The following is a 27,948-nucleotide window of genomic DNA, read 5'->3' on the forward strand; positions in this document are numbered from 1 at the left end:
ATAAGTGTTTTCCCCCAATAAATCCCTTGCACATCTATTCCATATTGGATTAGATATGAATCCAACTGGCATCTGCTTCTCAGAGAACCCAGTCTAACATACCTTCTATATGCCAGGCACTGTGCTACATGCTGGAGGTACGACTTTGAACAAGAGAAATTTAATCCCTTCTCCAAAGAAGTTCACCGTCTAAAGGGACTAGCAGAGATAAATAGCTACTGCATAGTAAATGAGTGCAATAAAGCAAACTAAGAAGGTAGAATGAAAAAAAAATGTGTATATGGGATATAAGGATGACTCCCCTAAAGTTTTACAAGGTCCTCAGAAAAGCAAGTTTCAAGAAATCTTACTGAAGTCATACTAGAAAGCATATTCAGACATTTTAGACAGTTTTTCAATAATTGGATGTTTTATTTTTTTAAAAAATGAGGGGAGACTAGTTAGCCCTAAGTCACCAGAAAATTTATTTTTATTACAACATCTTATTTCCCTAGGAATTTCAGTTGATCATGTCCTTAACTTATGTGTCCAGATTTTCTTAATTTAGGAATGAAATTCATCAAGTTTTGCCTCACATGACATCACTGCTGGGGTCCAGGGTATTGACTCCAAGCTCTCCACTTCACCCTTCTCAAGGGAGCTGCTGACAAAAGCAGTAAAGGAGAACACAGATAATACATATCACCAAACTGAACCCAGCACTGTAATTTATAGTACTAGATGGAAAGGTGATATTTAATGTCAAAATACCATTTGGGGTCTGCAGACATAGAGTTCAGATTTATCTCCTATAAATTTCAATCTCATATACAAGCCTTAGACTGATTTTCAATATGGTCTAAGCTTAAAGCTTTATGATTATCTTCAGAAAAAGTAAAGAAACAGCTAGTTCTAGCTCACTGTGTTCTTACTACATGAAGTTACAAAATGTAATGCTATTCTAGGAATAGGAACTGATGCAGTTTACTGGACCAAGAAGGGAAAGAGTCTCCTTGGGTAAGAGTAGCTAATCTAAATTTAAACAATGCTGGTTGGGACACATATGTAGACATGAAAAATCCTATGTGGCAGGTACTTTCACATACAAAGTTCCTGTTCATCTAGCAAGGCTTTATTTACTTTCTTGATAAACTGATGCCTAAGTAGTACATGTTCAAAATATCATATTTAAATAAGTTCATAAAATTAATCATTATAGATAAAATCCTTTGTGTTTCTAAATTTGCATTGACAATCACTTCCAGTTTTCAGGAATGGTTGAGTTTATTTGGCAGGGTGACTGTTAGTACTGGTCCTATTCCCACCAGCTCTAGGTAGTGGGAGTTATCAAATAAAAGGGCTCAGATCTTTTCTCAGTGAAGTGCTATGAGTGGTTCAGATCTTAGATGGTAACAAATTGTTGCTTGATGTACCTACATGGGTCCGGGAATGACTCTTTGAACTACCATGACACCAGTTTGATTTGCCTTTGATATGATAATTCATATAGTAATTTAGAGCTTGCATACAGTATGTCCCTTCCCTGAGTTGGCCAAGTCTCATCATTTTATAAACTCCCACCACCTGAAGAATCAGGTAAGCCAAAAATCTTTAAAAGAATAAAATTTCAAATGAGAACTTTTGGGAAAACATGTCAGATGTCCTGAAGAAAGGTATATATGATATCCAAATATAAGTGGATATGTTGCAATATTTACCCTCCCTCCCAGTTATTACTGCTTGGTTAATGAGTGAACTGGTATAATTGATCTATGGGCTAAAAGTTAGCTATAGATTTAAGGAAATAAAACACCCATAAACTGATTAAGAATTCAGAATTTCCAAACCAGGAAGGAGAGAAATACATGCCAAAGGAAAAGATATTTTGTATTAAGTAAATTTCATATAAATTTCAGTAAATTTCACAGACCAGCTTTTAAGAAAAGCCCCATCACAAGACAGCATGAGGAAGAAGCCTAGGTGAGCTAGGCATGCCTAAATGAAATGACAATAATGAAATATAACTATTTCAATGTATGGACATGTGCATGAAATAAATAAAACAGAAAGAACACAGAAAACAGAAAGAAACAGAAAAAGAATTTAGAGGGAATTCTCATCAAGTAAACAAAGAATTAACCTGGGAACTGAATCCCAAATGGAATGAAGAAAAACTAAAACCAAAAGCAGATGACTAAGGAGATAAGCCAAGAACTGGTACGTACTTGCATGAATAAAAGCAGAAATGTAAATTCAAGAAATAAGATGCCACCTACAAAAGACATACTAAATACAAAAGCACTCTTTAAATATATGAGGGACAAAGGAAAATTAAAAGAAAATAACCCCTTTATTAGATATAAGGGACAAGTAATCGTGAAGCCCAGCTATCAAAGAGGAGTTCTCACTTTATTATTATTATTTTTTTTTTGTAAAAATGGAATTCAGCTGGGAAAAAGGAATGGAGACAAGCAATATAGCCTGGGATGGAGATAAGGAGAAGACTTAGCAATTGACTATTCAAATGAGCCAGAAAGGTTCAGCTCTTTAGGGCTTAATAACTTGCATTCCCAGACGCTAAAAAAATTAACTGAAGTCATTACAGGGCTGCTAGTTCCCATTTATATTGAAGGATTAAAAAGTACCTTCATACTATAATCTCCTCTCCTAAACTGTAAGTTCCTGAAGAGCAGAGAATGACTCCCATCTCCTTTGGGATACTCCTTCACTCCCATTCAGCCCTGTACACGTAGTGTTGAATTAATGAGGGCTGCAGATTGAGAATACTAACAAAGAACTTTGTGTCTGTCTATATCTAAGAAGAGCAAGTGGAGTCTGGGCATGGTGGCTCACACCTGTAATCCCAGCACTTTGGGAGGCTGAGGTGGGAGCATCCCTTGAGCCCAGGAGTTTGAGACCAGCCTGGGCAACATAGTGAGACCCCGTCTCTATAAAAAAATTTTTTTTTAATGTAACTAGGCATGGTAGTGCATGCCTGTGGTTGCAGCTATTTGGGAGGCTGAGGAGGGAGGATCACTTGGGCTCAGAGGTCGAGGCTATAGTGAGCCATGATGGCACCACTGCACTCCAGCCTGGACAACAGAGTGAGACCCAGTCTCAAAAAAAAAAAAAAAAGATAAAAAAGAAAAAAGATCAAGGGGAGGCAGATGACCCTGAAAACGTTACATCTGTACACTTAACTTGGATCTTGGAAAAATATTTTAAAATACCAAAAAAGTAAACTACCAACGCCTGGCCAACATGGCGAAACCCCATCTCTACTGAAAAAAAAAAAAAACAAAAAAAAAAAACAGCCAGGCAATGATGGCACACACCTGTAATCCCAGCTACTCCGGAGGTTGAGGCACGAGAATCGCTTGAACCCAGGAGGCGGAGGTTGCAGTGAGCTGAGATCGTGCCACTGCACTCCAGCCTGGGAGACAGAGTGAGACTTCGTCTCGAAAAAAAAAAAAAAAAAATTCCAAACATCTTGAAGATACAATAAATAGATGTTTCAGTTGAATGAACTATGAAGTAATTTATTACTAATTATTTTAAGACAACTTCTCGCACATTGGGTCCAGTCATACAAGTAAAAGGGGATATTTGAGCTATGGAAGCTTTTCTTCTGGGGGATTACTCCACTCCTAGAGGCTAACCACAGATGGTCCACAGAAGGCTTTCTTCTGAGGCATACTCTTGTGACAGGAGATCTTTTCAGGCCTGGCTACCTGTGGCTTGGCCTTCTTGACCTCCATCACAGACTCTTTCCTTTGGGCCCACTTCTCGCTCTTTGTTAGCTCCATTTAAATATCTGACCTTTTAGACTGCTCCTGGTTTTCTTTAGTCACCTCCCCCAGGAGTGGGACTTCAGCTTCTCTTTGCTATGAAGTCCTATGCTTACCACATTCACTTGGAGACCCCATTCCAGGCCTAATCCCTGTCCATACTTGGAAGAGGAAAGCCAACAGTGTGTATAGGGCTGTTTCAATGTGTCAGTTCTATTGGATTTTTATTCCAAATCAGCATTAATGGCTTCGAGGTCAGTATCATCACAGGCACTAGTGGGCAGCAAATAACAAAACACTTATGATTCCTCAGGTCAAGTTGTTTACAATTTAATCCTAGCCCTATCACTTGCTAGCTGCACAAGCAAGGGTAGGTTATTCAACCTCTACCTAACTTTTTGCCCTTATCTATAACATGGGATCATCAATAGTACTTAGTTATTACAAAAATTAAGTGAGATTATGCATGTGAAGCTCTTAGTCTTTTTGATACAAAGTAAATATTCAATATGCATTAATTAAAAGTAAACCAAAGATAAATTCATGCTGAGAGACTAGACTTTCACACAAAATAATAGCTAGAGAACAGTGAAAGTTGGTATACGGTTACGTGACAAAATATGCAGTGTATTTTCTGAGGTGGAAGAAATAGTCTACATTCTAATTAGGTTACTGGTTACATGGGTGTACACATTTGTCAAAACTCATCAAACTCTTCACTTAAAATGAGTGCATCTTATTGTTTGTAAATTATATCTCAATAAAGTTGACTTTTAAAATATGTGATATAGACAACATTTGCTGGATAAGGGAATGCTCACCAGAGGCTCTAGGAGTCAAAGAAGACTTCCAGGAGAAGGTGAGGCTTGAGGTAGACCATACAGAATGGAAAAGATGTGGAGAGGCCAATGGGTGAAATGTGTTTGGAAACAGTGGAATAACGGGGCAAAGCTAACATAACTGCAGACTGGCTAGACCCTGGGGCGTAATAGCTTATCAGGTAAGACAGACCCAAATTTGAAGGGCCTTGAATGCAGGCAGAGACCTGTGGGCTTGACTCCTAGGCAGTAATGGACCACTGGAGCTTCTCAAGCAGAGACATAATATGATGAAGAGTGCTGTTTAGGAAGATTAGCCATACACCTTGAAATTGGGAAATGGACTAAATAATCCCTCAAGGTCACTTCCAGGTCTCTGATTCTCTAATTACCTTTATCATGTTCTATATGTTGGTTATTTTACTAGACTGCAATTTTAGTTAATAACTACAAATTGTCAAAAATCACATTAAAGAACAGAAAAAATATTAATGTAGACCTTGATCCTTACACTTTTCTAAGAGCAGATAAAGCATATTCAAACAGCAACAGAAGAGAATGAATCATCAGGGCTCAGTAACAATGAAAATTGAAATCTTTTCTATATATATATATGATGATTTGACACATTTCATTGCCAAGGTCTGCTTTATGAATGGCAGATTATTTTTTTTTTTGCTAACAAAAGTACTTTGTGCTGAAAATAATAATGCATTATCATTAAATTAATATTAAACAAAAGAATTAATGATATCCCAAACTGGTTGCTTCATGACTTGTAGGGAAAATAATAGATGCCTATTAAAATCATCCAAAGGATTAAGTGCAGGTTGCTCTACTAATGAACCAAAAAAAGCCATAACAGGCATTTTTTAAAAGGTATCTTTTTAAATGCAGGACAAGTCAATTTGCCATCCAAAAATATGAACTAATTTCCTTAGCATATAATAGTGACTTGCTATTGGAATGACGCCTTTTCCCCTAATTAATCATTATCTAAACCACATCTTACATGCTCATTTAATTTCTCACAAATCAAGATAGGAATACAGATGAAAGAAATGGCTGCATTAAAAACCGGTGGGGAAAGTGATGATTGCTGGCGAAAGAAATCATCTTAGGGAACCCAGCTGAAGGTTACCCTTCTGTTATTTAGCCTGAAAGAACATGACTTTGCAGAGGGCGCACCTGGGTATCAGGAGCTCAGACTTTAAATCAAAGACCGTGCCTGGGGCCACCATGGACTCTGCCTCTGTAAAAGGCAGGCCAAAATGTCACTACCACACTGGAGTACTGGGAGTTTAAAGCAACCGTGGAGATAAGCCATTCTCTAAGCCCGAAAATTAAAGAAAGAATTACCTTTATCTCTACTGCCAACTGTCAATTAACTGCCTATCATTTCATGCCCAGTAAAGGTTGAATCCCCAGATCACTACACTCTCCCATAAAGAGGTTCTTCCTGGACCACTTTACCAACCAGTGGTCAACATGTGCTCTGAGAATACAAATTCACGGATTATATCCACCTTGCCAAAGTGGTGAACAATTCATTCATCCAACATTTACTGAATGCCTACTTTATGCCAAGGACTATGCCCAGCCCAAGGAATATAATAATGAACAGGACATGGTCCCTGCACCAGAGTTCATGAATTGGTATAGAAAATGGACTCTCAAATTAACTAGAAACCTTTCACTCATTCTGGATACTTCACTCACACCCTCATCTGCTATAGCCAAATGTCACCAAATGCTACTGATTTTGCTTTCTAAATGTAATCATTCCCCTCCTTTCCATTGCTCCCTCATCACCTCACCTTCTTTCACTTGGACAACTAACAACAGCCTCCAAACTGGCCTTCCTGCCTCTATACCCTTCTCCACCCAAGTCCCAGAGAAATATTTCTAAAGTACATATCTGATTATGTCATTCTACTTCTTTAAAAACCTCCAAGAAAATGGAGTAAGGGCACAGGGGTGTGAAAGTGGGTGGCATCTTCAGGCACTGCCAAGGAACCTGGCAAGGCTAAAGGGAAAATTGAAGTGGTGGAGAGTGGCAGAAGCCAGATGACAAGGAGCTATGTGAACCCTGCTATAAGATGACTACTCGTTATCTTTGGACTGGATTCCCATGGGAAAGAATGTTTATGGGAGCAGAAGGAGATGAACTCCAAAAGCTTTCTATCCATTGAATTCCCACGGAACTCTCCAGTCTTTATAAAGACACTTCTCACACTCTCCATATTGCAACAAAGTTATATATGCATGCCTTATTTCCACTAGATTTAAGTTCCTTGAGGGAAGGACCCTTGAGTGATTCATCTTTGTGTCTCAAGGGGCCCATTGTAGTTTGGGCTTGATGTTCTCCCCTTTCACTTGGAGGTAATGTCAGAATTTCAAGAGAGTTCAGTTTTAAAGGAACTGGGTCAGATTAATTGATGCTACTAGAGCAACTTTTAGAAAAGCGAAAGTATTCACACACATACACGCACATCATTGATTATTTAGATGAGGGGAAACACCCTAATAAAAAGAAAACTGGGTTGGAGAACAATGCCAGCTATGCTGGAGTTGGGATGCAGAATCTTCTAGTTTAGAATTCTGCCAGAGGGACTAAACTGAGGTAATTTTCCTGCCTCCCCTAGTCACTTCTTCACTAATTGTTATTCTACTCAGATAAGTAGCTGAGACCCTGTCTTTCAGAAGATGTTTAATTTTTATTTTTCAGATACAATCTTTAAATACGCAGACCTGAGGCAGAGCTGAGAATTTCAACACCCTAGGCCCAATCTAAGTGCTAGGTCCCTCCCCAACATGTATGAAATCACATCAGAGGGAAAAGAGCTCTTCCCTATCAAAGCTAAAATGTTATTATCTGCTCTGCTACCAAATCAGCTGTGTGACTTTATCAAGTGTGTTCCCAAATCTGGGCCTGTTTTCCTCAAAGGGATTGGACTAGCAAATCTAAGTTTCCCAATTGTAGGGTAATCAATATTCACTGAGCCCATTCTCAACCGGGCATTGGGAGGACACAAAAGAAGCAAAGGACTTGCTTTCGCCCTTTTAGGAACGCTTTGTCAATATCACTTGAAGATACATGAATACGGATATGGGGCTAAGGCAAAGACCAACAAGTTGGCCTTTATAGCATTGTATCCCAAGTAATAACCACATGTCCTTTTACATATATGCCCCTGTATCTCCAGAAGCCAACTAATGGCAGATATCCTCCTGATGGATGGCATGCAGTGGCAAAGGGAAAAACTCTGAAATCAGACAGACCAGAATGTGAACCTCAACTTGGCCATCCACTTAGCTGTGTGATCTTAGGCAAGTTACTTAATCTCTGAGCCTCAGTTTCCTTACCTATAAAATGGAGACAATAACACCTACTCTCAAGGTCGTTGTGAGAATTAAATTAAACTCTTATTTAATGTTTTCCAAACACATGCCTCCATTTCCTGCTTCCCTGTTTCGCTCATGCTTTTCCTGTCTCTGAAGCACTCTTTCCCTAGCTTCAGCTATTAAAATATTCTCATCCATAAGGTCTCTCTCAGGTGTCTTTCATGTTTCTCCCCTCCTCTCCAAATGAACTCTTTGAGCTGTTATCTCTCAGAATTTTCTGTTCATTTTGTACTTCTCTAACAATGTGTTTTGCAATCTAGGTTTTGTAGTCATTGGTATACCTTTCTTATCCCTACTATTAAGTTATAGGTTTCTGTGGGCAAGAGCTATATTTTGGCCATCTCTGTATTCCCTGACATGGCCTAGTGTCCAGTACATAGTACACACTCAATAAATGGTTGCTGAATTAATGAACAAATATTAGTCAACAATGACAGCCTACTTCCTATACATAGTAATCTCCCTGTCTCTTGAGGCATTCAGGCATAATTTGGGTAGCAATGTCATATACCACAGAATGGACTCCTACACTAGGTAGGAGGGAGGCTGAATCTGGTGACCCCCAGGGTTCCTTTCTCTCTGTTTCCATGAAGGCCACACTCTAACTCACTAATCTCTTGACACACCACAGTTGTCACTGGTATGCTCTGATAATGCATCAGAGGAGAGATGCCCCACAGCCATAAATGTTAGAACTGGTCTTTTTGTCATAAACAAGTGTGACAGCATTTCTTCAGAGAATATCTCATCTGTGAAAACCATATATTTACCACTTTGCACGCAAGTTGTACCTAAAACTCAGTATGCCTGAATCTAAAAAGGAAGGCTTTTGCTTCACAGATGTTCTGGCTTCTAAAATTCCCTGTAGCTGATCTTTCAGCAAACCACAAAGACCAGGTGGAAAGCTGCAGTAGATTGCAAGTGCACCACTGCCTTGATCCTACAGATCCTGCAAAAAGGTTTTTCAGGTGCATAATAAGCAACAATTGCCTTCCCGTGGCAAAAATGCTTAGAAAAAATATTATATTTTTTCAGGAAAAAAGTTCAACAAGAATGATGAGGTAAGACCTAAAGCCCATGGTGAAATGGCTTAACCAAAGTAGTAACTCACCAATGATGACACATGTAGACATTATTGGGCAGAAACATTTAGGTCAGGTAAAGGGGGAAAGAGTGTATTAGTTTCCTAGGGCTTCCATATCAAATTACCTCAAATTGGGTGGCTTAAAACAACTGAAATTTATTCTCTCACAGCTCTGGTGGCCAGAAGTAGATCTGTCTTGTTTCAGGCCTCTTCTTCTGATCCAGTGACTTGGGTAAGACTCATTGTTTCAGACCTCTTTTTCTGATCTTGTTCAGAACTCTTCTTCTGATCCAGTGACTTGGGTAAGTCATTTTATTTCCCAGGTCCTTAATTTAACCATTTGAAAAATGAGTTAACAGTAGTTGCCACCCACATCCCCCTCAGGAAGCACACTGACATTTTTGACACTTTACAACTAACTTTAAGTCATTTTATTTCCCAGGTCCTCAATTTAACCATTTAAAAAATGAGTTAACAGTAGTTGCCACCCACATCCCTCTCAGGAAGCGCACTGACATTTCTGACACTTTACAACTAACTTTAAGATTTCTTCAAACAAGTTCCTCCTTACAGTAGAGAGTTCTGGTAAACTGGTATGATTCAGAAGGCCCCAGAAAGCTCTCCTCTATATGGTGGGTTGAATGGTGTCACCCCCCCCCACCCCCAATATATGTCCATGTCCTAAACCCTGGAACCTGTAAATGTGACCTTATTTGGAAAAACGGGTCTTTGCAGATGTAATTAAGGATCAGGCTAGAGATCTTCCTCCAGCACAGGACAGAAGGAGTAGTGGGGAGGGAGGCAACCCAGAACACCTGGATAGGACTGGACTGGAGAGGTGTCAATCCTCCTGGATTATCTAGGTGGATCCTAAATCCAAAGACAAGTGCCCTTATAAGAGACACACAGAGGAGAGACACAAGAAGAGTAAAAGGCCATGTGAGGATGGAGGCAGAGATTGGAATGATACAACCACAAACCGAAAAATGCCTGGAGCCACCAGAAGCCGGAAGAGGCGAGGAATGATTCTCTCTGAGAATCTATGAAGAGAGCACAGCCCTGCTGACCCATTGATTTTGGACTTCTGACCATGAGGGCTGTGAGAGAATAAATTTCAGTTGTTTTAAGCCACCCAATTTGAGGTAATTTGATATGGCAGCCCTAGGAAACTAATACACTCTCTTTCCTCCTCTACCCAACCTAAATGTTTCTGCCTAATAATATCTAAATGTTTCATCATTGGTGAGTTACTACTTTGGTTAAGCCATTTCATCACGTGTTGTCTTCATGTATAGCACTCTGTGAGTAATGCCCTCATACCTCAGGGCTAAAGACTTTACTAGGAATCTTCCTCTAGCACAGGATAGAAGGAGTAGGGGGGAGAGAGGCAACCCAGAACACCTGGATAGTACTGGAGAAGTGTTAAAAAGGGGGGAAAGATCAAGAAAAAGATAAACAGGGACTAAAACCAAATTTTCTGTAAGGTCAGCTTTGAAGAAGTAATATTAATAGAGGCCGAATACTACTTTAACAGCAATAGTCCCATATAATAAGAAGGAAAAAGTCTTGCAGAAGCAAAAAATACTAATAATATTGTCTCCGTTGTTGGCCCATATTCCAGAAAGTCTGTTAGAAGAATGCTCAGACCAGTCTAAAAGCCTCATTCTCACTGCTCAAAGGCATTTCTTTTGTTATGCTTACCAAATTAGGCATATTTTGAATACATGAAAAAAATTGTTTCAAGCTATTAGCAATTGAATAATCATAAAGGGAGCTAGGCAATAATGAAAGATGCAGATCAGTCTGGGCCTCCAGCACAACTCTGAATTTGATATGAGCTTTTCTTCACATTCCCCCATCCTGGTCTTCAGCATTCCTGGAGATGTTGTTTAACAAGCTCCCAGGCAAATCTTTCCAATGCCCAACTGCCCTTACTGTTAAGATGCTTCTCCCAGCTCTAATAGCTAACTTAAATTTCAGTTTCAAGCCATTGCGCCTTGTAATTACATTCTCGGCCACTGTAAATAATCCGTGCCCTCTATTATATCTTTCCCCTTTCCCTATGATAGGAACCTGTGGAAAAAGGAATCAGTTGCCTTGTTAGTACAACATACACACTGCACCTGAGCAAAATGCAACCAAAAGAAAATCAAACACTCACTCTTGATCCCCGAGTGAGAAGCGCTGTTATTGATCTTTTCCTTTTTCCCATTCTTCAGCTTATCCGAGTGTCTATACTAACGTGCTCTAGTGCTGTGGCATTTATGCCATCTTGGGGAATAGCTGTGTAAATGCTCCAGTAATTTTATACATCTTCAACATAGTGTTGTGTTAGAACTTGAGTATCTGAAGGACTGGGAAGGATAGATTTTCCTCCTTCTCCTACCCTCATGTAATGCAAATCAGAATCCTCACTAATTCACCCTCCTTCTGCATGTTACTAAAGTCTAGACTTGGTGGCAACCCTTTGCTGTGGAAGAGATTTAATGGAGGAGAAAGTGCACAGGAGTAGAGTTGGCAAGCAAAGCACTGCAGAGCAACTATAAGAAACTTGGAGACACAAGAGTTCTTGGTAAGCTGACACTGGAAGCTAGAGGACATTGTTTCCAAAACACCCACACGTACATTAGTGAATTCACTTTTCTCTGAACCAAATGTTTCCTAAAATTGAGGGAAATATTAGGTTATGAATGCAACACATAAAAGATTTTTCAATGATGCTCAGTAATAACTTTTTTACTCCTTGCTTTCTTCAGGAGCTATGAAAAACACAAATAAATTATCCAAACAGGTGATTTGGAGATTTCCCTTCCATTCCTATGATTTTAGTGAAAAACTCAAAAACAGTTAAGAGTAACTTCATTCTCCCATCAAATCGTGGGTGATTCAGACACAGAGATCTCCAGATCCCAGTGTGGGCTCCAAGAGGTAGCACCAGGAGGGCTCTAGATCAAGCGGAATGAACCAAGCCTGGATCCAGAGTCTCCCTGTGGCTTGCCAGTCTTATATAACTTGTCTTCAGAAAACCACCAGCTCTTGAGAGGACAGCAGTTTGGTTCAGGAATATCTGCCTCATTTATTTTTTAGTTTTTTTGTTTGTTTGTTTTGTTTTGTTTTGTTTTTTTGAGACAAGATTTTACTCCCGTTGCCCAGGCTGGAGTGCAATGGTGCAATCTTGGCTCACTGCAACCTCCACCTCTCAAGCTCAAGCGATCCTCCCACCTCAGCTTCCCAAGTAACTGGGATTACAGGTGCACAGCACCCTGCCCAGCTAATTTATTTTTTATTTTTGTAGAGATGGGGGGTTTTGCCATGTTGCCCAGGCTGGTCTTGAAATCCTGAGCTCAAGTCATCTGCCCACCTCAGCCTCCCAAAGTGCTGGGTGGCATGAGCCACCGTGTCCAGCCTGCTTTTTACTTTTTAAGGGAAAACTGAAAGGGAAATGGTGACACTATGAGGCCAGTTGGCCCAAACTGTGCTGACCATGCATGTCTTAGGAGTGCTGGGTTCAAGGTAGCTGATGCTACACTGGGTTGAGGCAATGATGGAAACAGGTTGATACAATCATTGAGGCAGTTCAACTCAAAGGATGACCTTCACCAAACAGGAAAAGAAATACCTATAACCCCAGGCTGCTGGGCTGCCTTCGTGACGTAGCATTCCCACAGGTTCAAGCCACTGGTCTTCCCATTTCTTCCTCTTTCCCCCTCAATCAACGTGGGGACCACTCCATACATGGCCGTCGTCTGTCTACATGTCTGCTTCTCCTACCAAGAGCAGGGAGAGGGGAGTATTTGAATTTGAATCCCTAGCATCTCACACATACTGGGTTCTCAAAACTGAATTGAGGAGTAATTCCTACAAATGCTGAACCCATCACAAGAGTAATCATTAGGAACATGGCTCTGGAACCAGACTAACTGGGTTTGATTAATTTCATAGCTATTTGATCTTGAACAAGTCATTAAACCTCTCTAAGCCTCAGTTTCCTCATCTGTAAAATGGGGGAAACAATGCTATCCACCTGGTAGTGCTGTTGTGAGGATTAAGTAGGATGTTGCCCATAAAGAGCTTAGCACAGTGCCTGGCTCAATAAATGTTAACGATTATTAGCACCGCCCCCATCACAGGTGCTCAATAAAAACTTGCTGAATTGAAGTCACACTAGTGGGAATGACTAGCAGATGTGAAGGCAACCTAGGCTTTTTTTTTTTTTTTCCTTTTTAGTTTTTCCCACCTCACTGCACCAGATGACCTCTGTGAATGTTTTTTCTGTTTGTTTTTGTTTTTTAAGAAGAGAAAAAGGATAGAATAGGGGATACTTAGGCTGCACTTTTGCACTGATACCCATTTTTCATTCAGGGCAGAAAACCAAGTCTGGCAAAGTCAGGCACATGATTTTCCAAGAAATATAACAAGGCTATTAAAAACCCTAAATTAAATTTGTATAATGAGCATGAATCTGAATACATTTAAATGTCCTCTAGATCCAGTAATTCCAGCAACATCCTAATATATTTTTAAGTGTGTTTTTGCAACTGTGAGGAGACCAAGGCTCTAAAACAGCAGAATTTCTTCAGGGGTGGGGGTGGAGCGGCAACACACAATTGTCATGAAAATTAACCCCTGAAAATGCACAGGACTTTATTACCAAATGGATGCCTGAGGAGATTACTAGATTTTTAGGGTCTTTACTATAAAGAGAGCAACCTGCATGCCTGAAATAATTAAGAAGAAGAGACTCAATTATCCAGTAAACTGAAATTTCAAACCACCCTGCTTACCTAAATGAGAAAAGCTGCTTAGACTAAAGCGTCATTACTTCTATTTAGACGAGCCTTAGCAAAGATATACAAGGAGCTAAAGAATGGGACCCCACATTCTTCCCTAAGCCACAACAATGCCTGTTTATGTAAATAGGATTTTCAATAACACAACAGAATCTGAAAAAAAGTTTTCATTATTGTCTCTGAAAACATGCAAATGCAGAAGATGAAAGTCAAGGGGCTTTCACTATGATGGGCACTGAATACCCTAAAATATTTATTCTACGTGAATCTGAGCCTGGATTCCAAGTGCATCTAAGAAACAGGCAATGAGGATTTCTCCTTTAAAAAAAAACATCTGAGTGCAATATGAGGAGGCACAAAGGTTTCTCTGACTCCATGGCAAGTTGAATGCATATGCAAAAAAACCCCAGTTTAAAAAGAAATAAAAATAGTAGTAGATATCTATTTACCTTTATTTGGCAGCCCCTTCCAAAATCTGGGCCAAAATATAAATATCCTCGCCTCCATCATCATCACTAGATGACAATCAAACACTCCTACACGACCATAACAACCTCCAGGCACAAACTAAAAGCTCATTAAAGAGTATATGAAGGCTATTTCTAAAAGAACTAAACAAAGAAGGAAAGAACTATTAGCAAAATTAATTAGACGATTCATACTTTTGACAACTATTACTATTTGTTTGAACTCAAGTGTCTAACTCCTTTACTGACAGGTATTGATGACTATAGCGGTACCACATATCTAGAGTTTTAAACTGACCTTGTAGCTTTTTGGTTCAAGAACTCAGGTTTTGACCTGTACTCCGTATATCAGCCTTCCTGTTGCTGTTTAGGCAGCTGATAAGAGACAGAAATCCTTCTTGCTCATTAGGCCACTAGCTGCTGTTAAGCAAAGGGCTGGGGAGGGGCGTGCTCAGTGGCCCAGAGGAATGTGCCGGGCTCCACATATAAAGCCAGCTCCGATCTGGGGTTAAGAATTTAACCTTAAAAGGCTGACAAGTCATAAATTTGCTTGAGGTTCATATATATGTGTGACTTTCACAGTTTATATTTCCTAGCCAGGACCCAGAGTCAAAACATGCCTCCTGATTAATGAATGGTACTAATTGTTATTCCTGACTTGAGAACATTAGTCTTTATCCGTAATATTTTCTTAAAAAACACACAATCTCATACCTAAAACTCTCTGGCTTAAGGGAGTTTGGATAACCAGTTAGAAAAAAAAAAAAATAGGAAGAAGAACCTAATGTTATCTGTTACTTGGTGCTACTATTTTGGTAGTCAAGATTGACTAAAAGGCTTCCATTTAATTGTGTCCATCAAGCAAAGTGCAAAGGAATGTCCTCCAAATCTAAACATCTGAGATAAAGCAACTATCTGCGACTCTATGCAAAAAAATGAGCTGGGGGGTGGGGTGGTGGGAAGGTGGGGAACAGGGCTTAAATGTCTTCAAGCACATTTTGTCTAACTTATCTTGTTAAATATTTATACATAAGTGCATAACCTAACAACCTTGGCCAAGCTTGGAAGAGATAATAGATACAGGACAAACAACAGAGCCCCATAAGTATAAAGACAAAGAGAAAAAATACCAAGGAATAGTCCAATTGGAATACAATCTCTAACCTGCAGTCAAAATTGAAACTGGGACAATAAAACCCCACAAGCAAAACAATGTCCCTGAAGTGTGATAACTTCATCAGGGAAAAGCAGGTTATAATTTGGTTAGCTTACAAGGTAGGTGTCAGTTTTAACCCACACTAGCGCTGTTTCAAAGGGGCTCCCTTATCTTCAGAAAAAAGGAAAGCATTCAATGTAAGAAAAGAGATTTCTAAGAACAAAGATGCAATTTTCATTTATTGAGAGTTATGACAAGGTGAGACAGAATGTAAACTACATAGCAATGATCTGAGGTACACAAGTCAGGTCATCTAGCCTTGTTCTATCTGTATAGAAAGCTTTTTAAATACTCAGTTCTTAGAAAATGGAATGTAAATTCATTGGTGTATATTTTAGGGCTCTTCATTTTCAAACTAAAGAATAGTATTTTACAATATCTCAAGATAAGTAAACCAGGTACCCAAATAAAATATGTGGGCAGAAATTGAAAGCCTGTTTTCTCTCCATTGAGGACAGACAGAAGTGGAGAAGGCAGAGGAAAATGGAGGAAGAGAGAGGAGAGATGGAAATCAGAAGCTACGGGGAAAGGAAACACAGCTTAAAACTAAAATGCAGAGGAAAATATAAAACATTCCACTCATCTTTTTTTTAAGAGAGAACAAGAAACAAAACCATTTAATAAATATAAAAAACCATAAAGCACCTTCTGTTCTAAATTATAATCAGTTGAGAGAGGGTGTGAGGGTAGGAGGAAGGGGAGAAAGGAAGATGCGGAGAACAGTCCAACAGACAGAAGGAGGGCCCTCAGTAGCTTCAGAGGTATATTGAGCCCCAGGAGGGCTGTGATGAGAGTGCACAGAACATCCGTTGTTCCCCTTAACTGTGGGTGTTAGAGTAACCTAGGCTACTTCTTATCACTACTCTATGAAATGTTGAGGAGCTTTTCAAGAATCTTACCCATTTTACCCCGAATTATTAGTTGGTAGTAAATTTCATTACCACTAGGATCTAATTTGAAGCTAAAACTGGATATTGTTGGGAAAAGACTCTGAATGATTGAATAAATGCTGGTTCCAACATCTCCTTCAAGCTTCATAAATGAGGCAACCTTACACTCTCAAAGAACAAAGAAAAAGCAATCTGACAGCTTTTGAAGGCCAAAAAACCCTTCAGGCAACGTTATTAAATTGACCCACAGCACTGAAGTTTTAAAGCCAAGAAATGACTTAGGTTTTAGAAATTAACACTTGTATAAAACCTTCAGAATACCATGGGGAAAATAATCCTTTATTTCAGAAATAAACTTTGAAGTTTGAAAACAAAGCAGAAAACCTGTTTCTGAAAACAGAAAGGACTATTTGAAACACTGAGCACAGTTCTTCCACAGCTCTTTGAAACTCTTCAATAGTTCCACTCTGACTTCTGGAGATGGCCAAGTAAGATATACCCCAGAATGCCAGCAAAAGAAAAAGTGGGAAACCATTAGTTCCCTATGGGAAGAGCCAAATGATCTCAGGAGATAGCTGCCTCTGGTCACATTAAATTAAGCCAAGGCCAAGACTAGAGGTTCTACCCATCTAAGGCAGCAAAGGCAGTACTTTCCAACTAGTTACAAATTATTAGCCACTGAGCAGAGATCCTACTGGCTCTCCCTAGCCCATTCAATATCACATTCTCATTCATTGGCTCAGTCTGTTATACTTAAATAGAGGGCATGCACGCCAAGGCCATAAGAGTGAGAGACATAATAGACAGAGGTAGACTTGCAAGATTTAGTCACTTAATTTGGGTGTGGGATGGGTAAAAGGAGAAATCAAAGACAATTTCAAGGTTTCGAGTTGGTGCCAGACAGAGATACCATCACCAGAAATATAGAACGTTAAGGAGAGGCAGGTTTGTGTGGATGGGAAAAGAAAATAATGGACTAATTTTTGGCTCTGTTGAAAATGAAGCACTGGCAGGACTTCCAGATGGACATGTCCAGCAGACAACTGGGAAATACTGAGCTGAAGAGCAAGGAAGAGGTCAGGTTGAATCATTCAAAGAGCAAAGATAATGAAGTCATGGGAATGGATGTGGGAATAAGCAAAGAGAGAACGGAAAGGGCAAAAGACAAACACTACTGGGACACTTACATCCAAAGTGTAGGAGGAAGAGGGCAAACAAGCAAAGACTGAAGCGAGTAGGAAGGGAACCCAGAGTACACAGTGTCACAGAAGTTGACAGAGTATGGGAATTTAAGTCAAATACTTTATATCCAGACTATATCCCTTCCTCTCATACTCCAGTAGGTATTCTGGAAACAGCATGAGCTATGGAGTAAGACAAACCTGGGTGAAAATTCCGGCTCCGCCACTTACACAACCTTTGGGTAAGTAAACCTTTCTGAGCCTCAGTTTCTTCATCTGTAAAATGGAGCTGACACCACCTACCTTTCAGGTTTCCTGTGTTGATTAAATGAGAGGTTAAATATAAAGTAATTGACATATAGTAGGCACTCAGTAAAGATTAATTTCCATAATCTTCCCTCGTGGTCCTTCTAAACTATTCCACCAACCTGAAAGTGGTGTCAAAAAATCAACTGGAATACAAGGAGTTTCAAGCTTATGTTGAAAGAAACACTGATGAAGGCAATCTCTTAAACAACAGAGAAATGAAAGAAACCATTTATGCCAGAGAAACAGAAAATTATACAACCCTCCCCAACCCCTAAACCAAAAAATAATACATCTCCATAGACACTTATGAAAGATCAGCCCAATTACACAAGTATTCCTAGCGTTTACTTGGAACCACATGTTTCAGAGACCAGCCATCAGGGCCAAGTCTGAAGCAGAATACAGACCAGAGCTCCAAAAGCTACATATTGTTACAGTTTTCATTCTTTACATTGGGAAAGTACTGCCCTGGGGGAGGGACAGAGGAGCCACCATGTTGGAACCACTAAAGTTGCTGGAACTCAGAAGCTACAGACACTTTACGAGTGGTTGCACTGTGTGTACGTGAGCTATATGAGGGCAAGGCTTTCACAAGACAAATGTAATGTGTGATTGTGAAAGATCACCTACTGCTAAGAGTAACAGCTAATAACTTTCAGCGTTTTTTTTGTTTTGTTTTGTTTTGTTTTGTTTTTGAGACAAAGTCTCACTCTGTCACCCAGGCTGGAGTGCAGTGCCGTGATCTCAGCTCACTGCAACCTCTGCCTCTGGGCTCAGGCAATCCTCCAACCTCAGCCTCCTGAGTCACAGAAACTGCAGGTACATGCCACTATGCCCAGCTAATTTTTCTATTTTTTGAAGAGGCAGGGTTTCACTATGTTGCCCAGGCTGGTCTTGAACTCTTGGGCTCAATCAGTCCTCCCACCTTAGCCTTCAAAAGTGCTGGGATTACAGGTGTGAGCCACCATGTCCAGCCTTTCCATTTAAATAACATGCATAATTATTCATTATTACTATCAAGAATAATAGAAGTCTGATTCTTTGATTCTAATATATTCCTCTACATAGAGATGTGTGTGTATGCACGTGTGCACATGCACGTGTGTGTGTTTGGTAGTACATTATCTTATTTGCAGAGTCTTGGATCATGACAACATATACTCATACTTTCTCTTAATCAAGAGGGTTCTTGAAGTCTTTGGCAGGTTTTTTTTTTAAATCATCAGATGTTGGCAAAATACATTTTAATACATGCCACATGCAAAAGCCTGGAAAATATCATCCACACTCACGACTTCCAACTTAAGCCTATATGCTGATGAGTCCCAACTATGTGCTTCTCCTTAACTCCAGAAGAATATATACACTCTTTCCCAGTGAACTCATCTGTTCCCAGGGCTTCAATTACCATCTATATGCTGATAATTTCCAAGTATATATCTCCATCCCTGATTTCTCCCTCTTTTGTAATCCAAAACGCAACTTGAACTACCTAGCAGACATTTTCTACCTCCATCATCAAAGGACCTTTCAAACTCAATCTGTTTGAAACCAAACTGATTATTTCAGCCCTTAAAAACATGTTCCTCCTATATTTCAAGCACACTCATTTGTTCAACAAATATTTACCAAGCACCTATTATGTGCCACAGCACCACCACCCAGAAAAACCAAAAGTTCTAGATTCTCCCTTCTGTCCTCATATCCAGTCACTAAGTCATGTCTATTCTACTCCCTCTATTCTCTCAAGTTTAGCTTTTATTCTCCTATTTATGGTCCCCTGCCCTATCACCTGTGTTACTAAAACTCCCTGCCACCGCTCACTCTCCAGTCATCCTCCAACTGAATAATGTTTCCCTTCTTAAAATGTTTTCAAGGCTCCTCATCATCCTTGGGTATAACCCAAACTCCTCAGCATTTCCTATTTTTCTAATTCATCTTCACTCCACTTCCACATCTGTGCTCCAAGAAATCCCAACTATTCCAGTCCAACAAATGTGTCATGTGTCATTTTGCCTCTTAATTCTGTACCTTTGTACATGCTTTACATGAAAGCCCCCTCTTTTTTTTTTGAGACAGGGTCTCTCTCTGTCACCCAGGCTGGAGTGTGGTGGTATGATGGTAGCTCACTGCAGCCTTGAACTCAGCCCTCTTAAGACAACTAGGCAAATTCCTCCATAGCTCAAGAGCCCTCAGGCCTCCACATGGTGCCCAGCTCTATAGCAGGCCACAGTCATGCTGCCTTGGCATCTATGTTTTTCCTTGCCTGGATCCCTCTCTAGGCAGGGAGCTCCTTGCTGGCAGTGATTTTATCTTGTTCATCAGCTCCTAGCTCAGTACCTGGCATAGTATCAGTGCTCAATAAATGTTGGTTGAAGTAAGAATAAATTTTAAAAACTTTTAAATATTTATGCAGAAATGGCATATAAAGTTCATTATTAGTGAGTTCCTTTTCTGCAAATTTCCATCTGTTTTCCAAAACAGATAACTGTGGTCCTCAGTGCAATCACTCCATGAAACCTAACCTGGAAACTGCTTCTTGGGTCACATTCTCATTTCTATGGCACTCAACATGCAAAGCTGCCAGTGCTAGAAGTAGTTCTCCAAAGTGGGCCAAATTAGCATTATTGGTGACTGTCACTACTTAACAAGGATAACATCTGTGTACTTGGGGAAATGATGGAACTTGATTTTAAGAGTGGTAGCTCTATGATATCAGTGACGATTAGCTCTGCTACAATTTCAGGCCAATCCAACTGAAAATGGTTTACTCAATCTCTGAAAGCTGTACCCACTAGCTCTCCCCCAGAAAAATTAGGCTTAGTCTCTAGATTATTAAAGGCATAAAGATGTAGGGATATTATATATGTGTATATGAGTGTACAAATATGTGTGTGTATGTGTGCTGGAACCAGGCAGGTTGCTGGAAGTCAGAAGTGACAGACACTTTATGAGTGGTTGCCTTGTGTGTACATGAGATATATGAAAGCAAGGCTTTCATGAGACAAATGTAAGGTATGACTGTGAAATACCACCTACTGCTTAGAGTAACAATTAACTTTCAAACAGTTTAAATAACAGAAATATTTATTAATTATTGCTGTCTAAATAATAGAAATCGTTCTATACATACATAAAATCTATGAATATAAATACATAAAACATATCCAAACACCACACTTAGGTAAAGCTATAGTTAAAAAATATTTCTTTACTTGTCATCTCCTCTTCAATCGTAAGTTTTAAAGAGGGGCAACTCGCCAGGGAGCAAAATTGACTCACACCTGAAATCCCAGCACTTTGGGAGGCTGAGGCAGGCGGATCACCTGAGGTCAGGAGTTCGAGACCAGCCTGGCCAACGTGGTGAAACGCCATCTCTACTAAAAATACAAAAATTAGCCAAGTGTGGTGGTGGGCACCTGTAATCCCAGCTACTCGGGTAGCTGAGGCAGTAGAATCTCTTGAACCTGGGAAGCAGAGGTTGCACTGAGCCGAGATTGTGCCACCACACTCCAGCTCAGGCAACAGTGCAAGACTCTGTCTCAAAAAATGATAATAAATAAATAAATAAATAAATAAATAAATAAATAAATGAGGGGCAACAAGGCTCCCAGGGCCAATGAGAATAAATAAATATGCTTCAAATTCACCACCCCTTCTGTCTCTGCTGCAAATTAGTTTAGACAATGATACATTCAGAGAATCAATGTTCTATAGTTATATGCCACCCCAGGATCTCACTGGACAGTGGTCAAGCTCTCTAGACTATGTCTTTAGGTGTTTATTCTTACATTCATTCCAACTAATTAATCAATCCATTAAAAACTCTGTACAAGGCACTCTACTCACCACTCTAGAGGATATCATGATGAATCAAACATGGTCCCTGCATTCAATAAGCATAGGGTCTGGAAGAGGCCATGAATAAGCTACATATTTCAAAAAACATGGATAATAAGTGAGAAGTACAGATAAAGTATTTCTCTGAACCAAATGCAATTGGGACATCCTTCTGTATTCTCTCTGCACACATGCAAATTTCCATACTCAAATATTTTCCAATCCTTTCCATCTGTCGTATGCCAGCTAACTTTCTAATATATACCAAGTGAAGGCTTTTAAACTCCTCCCTATATCTGTCACTCTAACTCTTTCTCCCTTCACCATGTTTCCATCAGCTTCAATCATTCAAACCAAAGTTTGACAAAGAGCAATGAAGAATCCCAGGGTGACATGATACACACTGTAAGTACTGATATGCAGGGTTTGGGAGAGAGGGAGCAGAGCCATAATTAAGGAGAAGAGTATGCAAATAGAATTCTGATTTTTGTTTTCAAATGAACATCATCCCTTCGTTTTTTATCCTTTTTCCTACTTGGGCCTCTATTTGAATATTTGAAAGAACTTCCCATCAACTTTCAATTAGTTTACCTAGGCAACTAATTGAAAGTTTGGCCTAATGCAGACAGAAATTAAGAGAACTCTCATGAGGCCCTTTATCCTACCCAAATGAAATTTCCATGGCGGAAAATTCACTTTGGATTATGTCCTTTTTTAAATTTTATTTATTTATTTTTGAGACAGAGTCTTCCTCTGTCGCCCAGGCTGGAGTGCAGTGGTATGATCTCAGCTCACTGCAACCTCTGCCTCCCAGGTTCAAGCGATTCTCCTGCCTCAGCCTCCTGAGTAGCTGGGATTACAGGTATGTACCACTATGTCCAGCTAATTTTTGTATTTTTAGTAGAGATGGGGTTTCCCCATGTTGGCCAGGCTGATCTGGAACTCTTGGCCTCAAGCAATCCCCCTGCCTCGGCCTACCAAAGTGTTGGGATTACAGGTGTGAGACACCATGCCCAGCCTGGATTATGTCCTTTTAAATGTACATTTATGAAGCTTGATGCCTTAGGTAAGAAATGCCGAACACTGAGGAAAAACTTACATACATTCAGTGTATGTTTCCGTAACTGGCACCAAGTTGCATTATTTTCACAAACCTAAATACCACAGATCTGTAAGGTGAAGATAAGCATATGCATTTATACATACATGTATAATATATCTTCAATTTGTCTTGAAATTACTTATAATATCCTTATAAACAAGCACAAAATACTTACCTCTTATAAGATTTAACTAGTCTACTTCTTCCAGAGAGTTATAGTATAGCCAAATGAATTAAACTAATATCCTTTATCACTTACCTATAGAAAACAAATGGATTTTTGACCTAAAAAAAAACTGGTTACTTTTTTAAAAACCTTAGTATATTGGTAAAAATAAATCAACTACTTAAATATTGACTTTATGGAAATTTTATGTTTGTAATACATTTCTAACTCCGTTCATTCATTCAGTCTATAAATACATATTGAGTACCTATTATTTGTACCCTGTACTGTGCTAGACACTGGGATACAAAGATGAATAAAATATAGCCGCTAACCTCAAGATGATCACAGTCTAGTAGGGAAGATATCATTAGAAACATGAACTTCAAAGTTGCCATAATGGGGACTTCTAATTTTCCAGTAATAAACTTAGTTGCAAAAGGCAGACAAAAAGGCCATGTAAAATTTTACTCTAAAATTGTACCTTCTCCTGGATTTATAAGGAATAAATATATGCTTCACTGTGGAAATTTTGAAAAATACAGAATATTTTCAAAAACATCACTTCTACTGAGACATGTACATTTTTCAGCTTTCAGATGGCTGGACGGTGGAAGTTTCTTTTATAACAGCTTTTGACTTCCCTTCTTATTGCCACTTCCACTTGTATTTTATCTCCTTCCTATCAATTATTTATCAACATAAGCCTATTAAGTACGCTTCAAAGAGCTTAGTAGATTTACTAATCTAGCATATAAATACAATTTCAGCTACTAGAAGTAATTAACTGTTCGGAACACTAGCAATGCACTTTGGTCATAACATTGACTTCCTTTTATTCATGAGGAAAAATACAAACTCTCAAATTAGGCTTTGTCCAGCTACACACAAAAAGAGGGAAAAGTGAAAAATGAATCTCTTAGTAATCAATCTTGATTCATTTTTTTAAATTGCAAACAAGTATTTCTAATAATTAACACTTGTCTAATTGATCTTGAATTGCCCTAATTAGAAGTACAGAACTAAATCTTCTTTACTTTGTATATTCAACAAGATATTCAAGTAAGGCTACAATGTTCCAATGAGCATTCTCACCACCACCCCCTGATACACGTAGCATTTCAAAACACGCATTTTCTCTGCTGATATACCCACCTTCACCTTGATTTTTGAACAGCATTCTCCCTGTCATTATGTCTCAGAAGGTAAATTCCCATTACTTTATGCTGTCTCTAAAGCCAGTCTGGGGCCTGTAACTTGGATTCTATTTTCTGATGCTCATTTCCTAATGGAGTGCCAGGGATCCTGTTTCAAGCCAGACAATTTGCTAAATATGGGCAGATGAGTGGGAGATTTTTCTGCCCACACTGTCCCTTAGATCGCAGATTACCAAAAACATCTAACCCATTTACAAGATTGGCTAGGACTGAATAGACATTGGCTCCTGGAATAGGCTCTTGAATTGAGTCTGTACACGAGTTCTGATCCCAGGTTACAAAAACCTGTGAGGTACTTCAACAGGTCCATGCATGTGTTATATAGCTCAACTCCCAAATATGGTAATATCAACCTTAGCAAGAAAGGTCTAGCTGACAATAAATCAAAGAGGGCTTGATTTAAGAGATGTCCTACAATTTATGTGCTGTAATAATTGTTGATCGTTAATGATACTAAGCCAGTCATAACAATGCTGCTAATTTCAATTTGTTATTTGGGTACTCAAAATTTAATAAGCCCTACTGATGGTAAGAGTTGCCAGCTAACTGAGGTAAGCCTGCATCTGTCTCCAGCCAAAATATATGTAGGCTGAAAAGTTTGTCTACATGCCCCAATAATGTATCGTAACAATTTGGACTTAGGCTTTTAAAATATGTAAGATGACATATGGCTTAAGAAAGTATGTGAGAGTTCATAGGGAACACATAATGATCTAGAAATTCTGTTTTTGTAAATTATTTACTAAATGCTGTATGGCCTTGTGCTCAACACTGCTCAAATGCAGTGTTTTCCCTTTAAGAGGCTTATAATCTAAAACATACAAATAACCATATGCAGAAAAAAAGCTAGAGATCAGAGTAAAAGGAAGCATTCACAAAAAAATGTACAAATTCAGCATGCCAGAACTTTTCAGTTGAGCAACATGATCCCCAGTGAAATTCTTTCCAAATGATGTATCGTGTGCACAAGTTATAAGTGATTATCTTCAATTTTCTTAGAAATGAGTAATAAGATAACTCTTAAGACCCATGCTTTTGTATATGCATCAAACACTGAAGTTGGCGTGGTCATTGATAGCTGTCATTTAGGGAGAAAACATATTTTCTGTCTTGTCTCATACCAGACAAATCCAGGACTCTTTTCCCCCAGATCAGTAATAAGCCGCCTTTTTCTAGGCTACAGTGAACAGCAAACATTGCAACTCTAAAGATGGAAGTAGCAGAATGCTCAAAAATATTGCATCAAAATATTGGATACAACCTACCAGCCCATAAGAAAAAAACACATTGCAAAACTGACGCCATCTGCGTCATTTAGCAACCATTAAAATTCTTCTTATGTCTGTATTTCCTAATGCTTCCAAAATGGAATTTGCTCCAAGAATTAAGAAACTCTTTTTAAGATGGCGGCCCTATTAAGAGACTTCTCCCTATCTCCCACTTCATCTCTTCAGTTCTTTTCCCTTGCCCAGGCTGGCTATTGTGACCATTTCAGCCAATTTCCTGGAGGTATTTTCTAGCCCTTTTCACCCTTTTTAATCCTACAAGTTTCCTGGGAAGCCTGTTTACTTGTATGCTTCCCCACTAGACTGTGAGCTCCTTGACAAAAGGGATTGTGTCTCACTCCTCTCTGCAACCCCAGCACCTATTACAGAGGCTGCCAAGGAGTTGGCAGTGTTAGACTCCTTTCAGCCCAAGGTGCCCCACCAATCATCAGCCATGTCCTCCATCAGATTGATGGCTCCCTCTAAGCACAGCTTGGTATCAGTATCAGGATTCGTGTACTATTCAGACCACATTTGAAAGAATTCTCTAACTGTTCCAAGTAGCACACAATACAGAGTTTTTTGTATTGTTCAAAGTTTCAAAGTTTTAACAAATCACCTGGTCACCCAAATGTCTCGTGCAATCTCAGAAGAGAAAAAACCCTTCCACACCTCACTTATTATTCTCTCTCTGGACATTAGGACCGCTAACTGCTTCAAACTAATTGGGGAACCGCAGCTGGCAACCCAGATACGGAGGCTAGTTCTCACAGTAAAAACAACAAAAACAAATACCAAACTATCTCTTTGTTTCAAGCACATTGCTTTTTATTTTTATGTTGTTTCATCTATTTCAAGAAACTCCAAGTCAATTTTGGCTGTTCAAGACTGCCTTTTACCCATACAGGCATTTGGCCTTCTGGATTGGTTCTCGCACTTTCCAAGGCCTTCCAAGGCAAGATCCCTCAATCTTTTGGGAGTTGCAACACTACCACGGTTTGTTTGATTTTCTCATTTCCATCCATCCCTTACACTACCCCCCTCCCCCGACAAAAGTGGTGTATGGCATTCATAAAGTGAATTACACTTGATTTTTGTTTAGAGGAATTTTTTTCCAGACTTCTGTAACATTCCCTTGAGACAATTGGAAACATCATTGTCTGATTACTAGCTCACTTTCCTTGCCTAAAATTGTATCCATTCTTGATTGCGCCTGTGGGTAGGTTAAGCAAAACAAAATAAACATCTAGACTTATGAGCTCATTGGCTTTTTTCTGAATTTTTCTAAATTAAATAAGGGCAAAAGAGCTGTACTGAAAGTCAGTTATATGGATTTTTCTGCCAAATGCTAACTCTGTGCGCCTGGTTTCCATCTGTGGTGCTTTCCAAGTTACAAATCCTTAAAAAAATAAGTGGGGTATGAAGAGATCTATGGATTTTGGGGACATGCTATTTAGAACTGCTATCCTGTGACTTGAACACTCCAAAAGAAATGGGAACATGAGATTGTAAGGCTTTAGATCAGCTTTGTGGAAGTCTAGTGTAGTCCTTCAGCACCAGTGATTTATTTTTTAGGCTGGCTGATCTCAAATGCCATTTAGTCTCATCCATATTAGCATAAGAAATGTACCTTATTCAGGCTAACCCAATTCTGCTAATGGCTGAAGTTAGCAGTCAATCCCAAATGCTCCCCCTAAGTGAAACAGGACATTCTTGAGGATTTCTCCTTACTGTGACTGAATCTCATTTGATCTGGGACAAAGAAAGCTTTAATGCAGTTAATATAGTGCAGCAGGCAAACTGAACATGGCTTAAAATATGGATGCAGAGGGGGGAAAGTCAAGCGGTCATCATGATGGTTCATAACTACCAAATAATTTTCAGCTCTCTTTCAATTTCCAACCACTGAACGACAGCAGCAAATTATACATTTATTCACTTTGAAATTATACACTTACCATTGTATTTAGTCTGCCATTATTGTCTCTTCCCTAAAATACTGATGAGCTCTTTCCACACACGAACATTAGGATTTTCATGTTTTCCATATCTACAGTGACCATATTTGTCCCACTAAAATTCAGGACACGCAGTTTCATGCCAGGACAGAGTATTAGAAACCTGCACTGCCCCCGGAAAATCCAGGATATATAATGGTAGCTGTATGGGGATCACCATATTTGAAGTTTGGCTTGGCTCCAGTGCAAGTCAGGACAGTGCCTGCCATGTAGAAGATGCTCAACAGTGTTTGTGTTTGTTAAATAGAACTAAAGCAGGGAACGTTGGGTTTATATGATGAAAACCCTTGAAAAGTGATTTCTCCTATAGAGTTTGTGAAATAGTAGAGGAAAATGAAAAATCTTTATTACAAGTCCCTCTTCTCTATAAGTGTATGGCCATCCCTAGGCCTCAAGGGAGGGAAGGAGCCCAG

General features: G+C 39.3%; 1 protein-coding gene and 1 long non-coding RNA gene across 6 annotated transcripts in view, besides 1 other annotated feature; both read right to left on the minus strand.

The window, feature by feature from the left end:
- Window positions 1-27,948, minus strand: part of GPC3 (glypican 3) — a 449,850-nt gene that overhangs the window by 419,702 nt on the left and 2,200 nt on the right. The gene's annotated exons all lie outside the window — the stretch shown is intronic.
- LOC124905220 (uncharacterized) lies at window positions 6,696-21,266 on the minus strand. The gene is made up of 2 exons (XR_007068339.1): window positions 14,630-21,266; window positions 6,696-12,841 (listed from the first exon to the last, which is right to left on the minus strand). It is a non-coding gene; the product is annotated as an uncharacterized LOC124905220 (long non-coding RNA).
- Window positions 25,671-26,183: an enhancer, noted in NCBI's record as "OCT4-NANOG hESC enhancer chrX:133115144-133115656 (GRCh37/hg19 assembly coordinates)". NCBI's record gives its function as "activates a minimal SCP1, AML or CMV promoter by ChIP-STARR-seq in naive H9 embryonic stem cells {active_cell/tissue: H9 hESC(naive)}" and the evidence as "EXISTENCE:reporter gene assay evidence [ECO:0000049][PMID:30033119]".

The sequence above is a fragment of the Homo sapiens genome, chromosome X, assembly GCF_000001405.40.
Source record: "Homo sapiens chromosome X, GRCh38.p14 Primary Assembly".
Taxonomy (NCBI): Eukaryota; Metazoa; Chordata; class Mammalia; order Primates; family Hominidae; genus Homo; species Homo sapiens.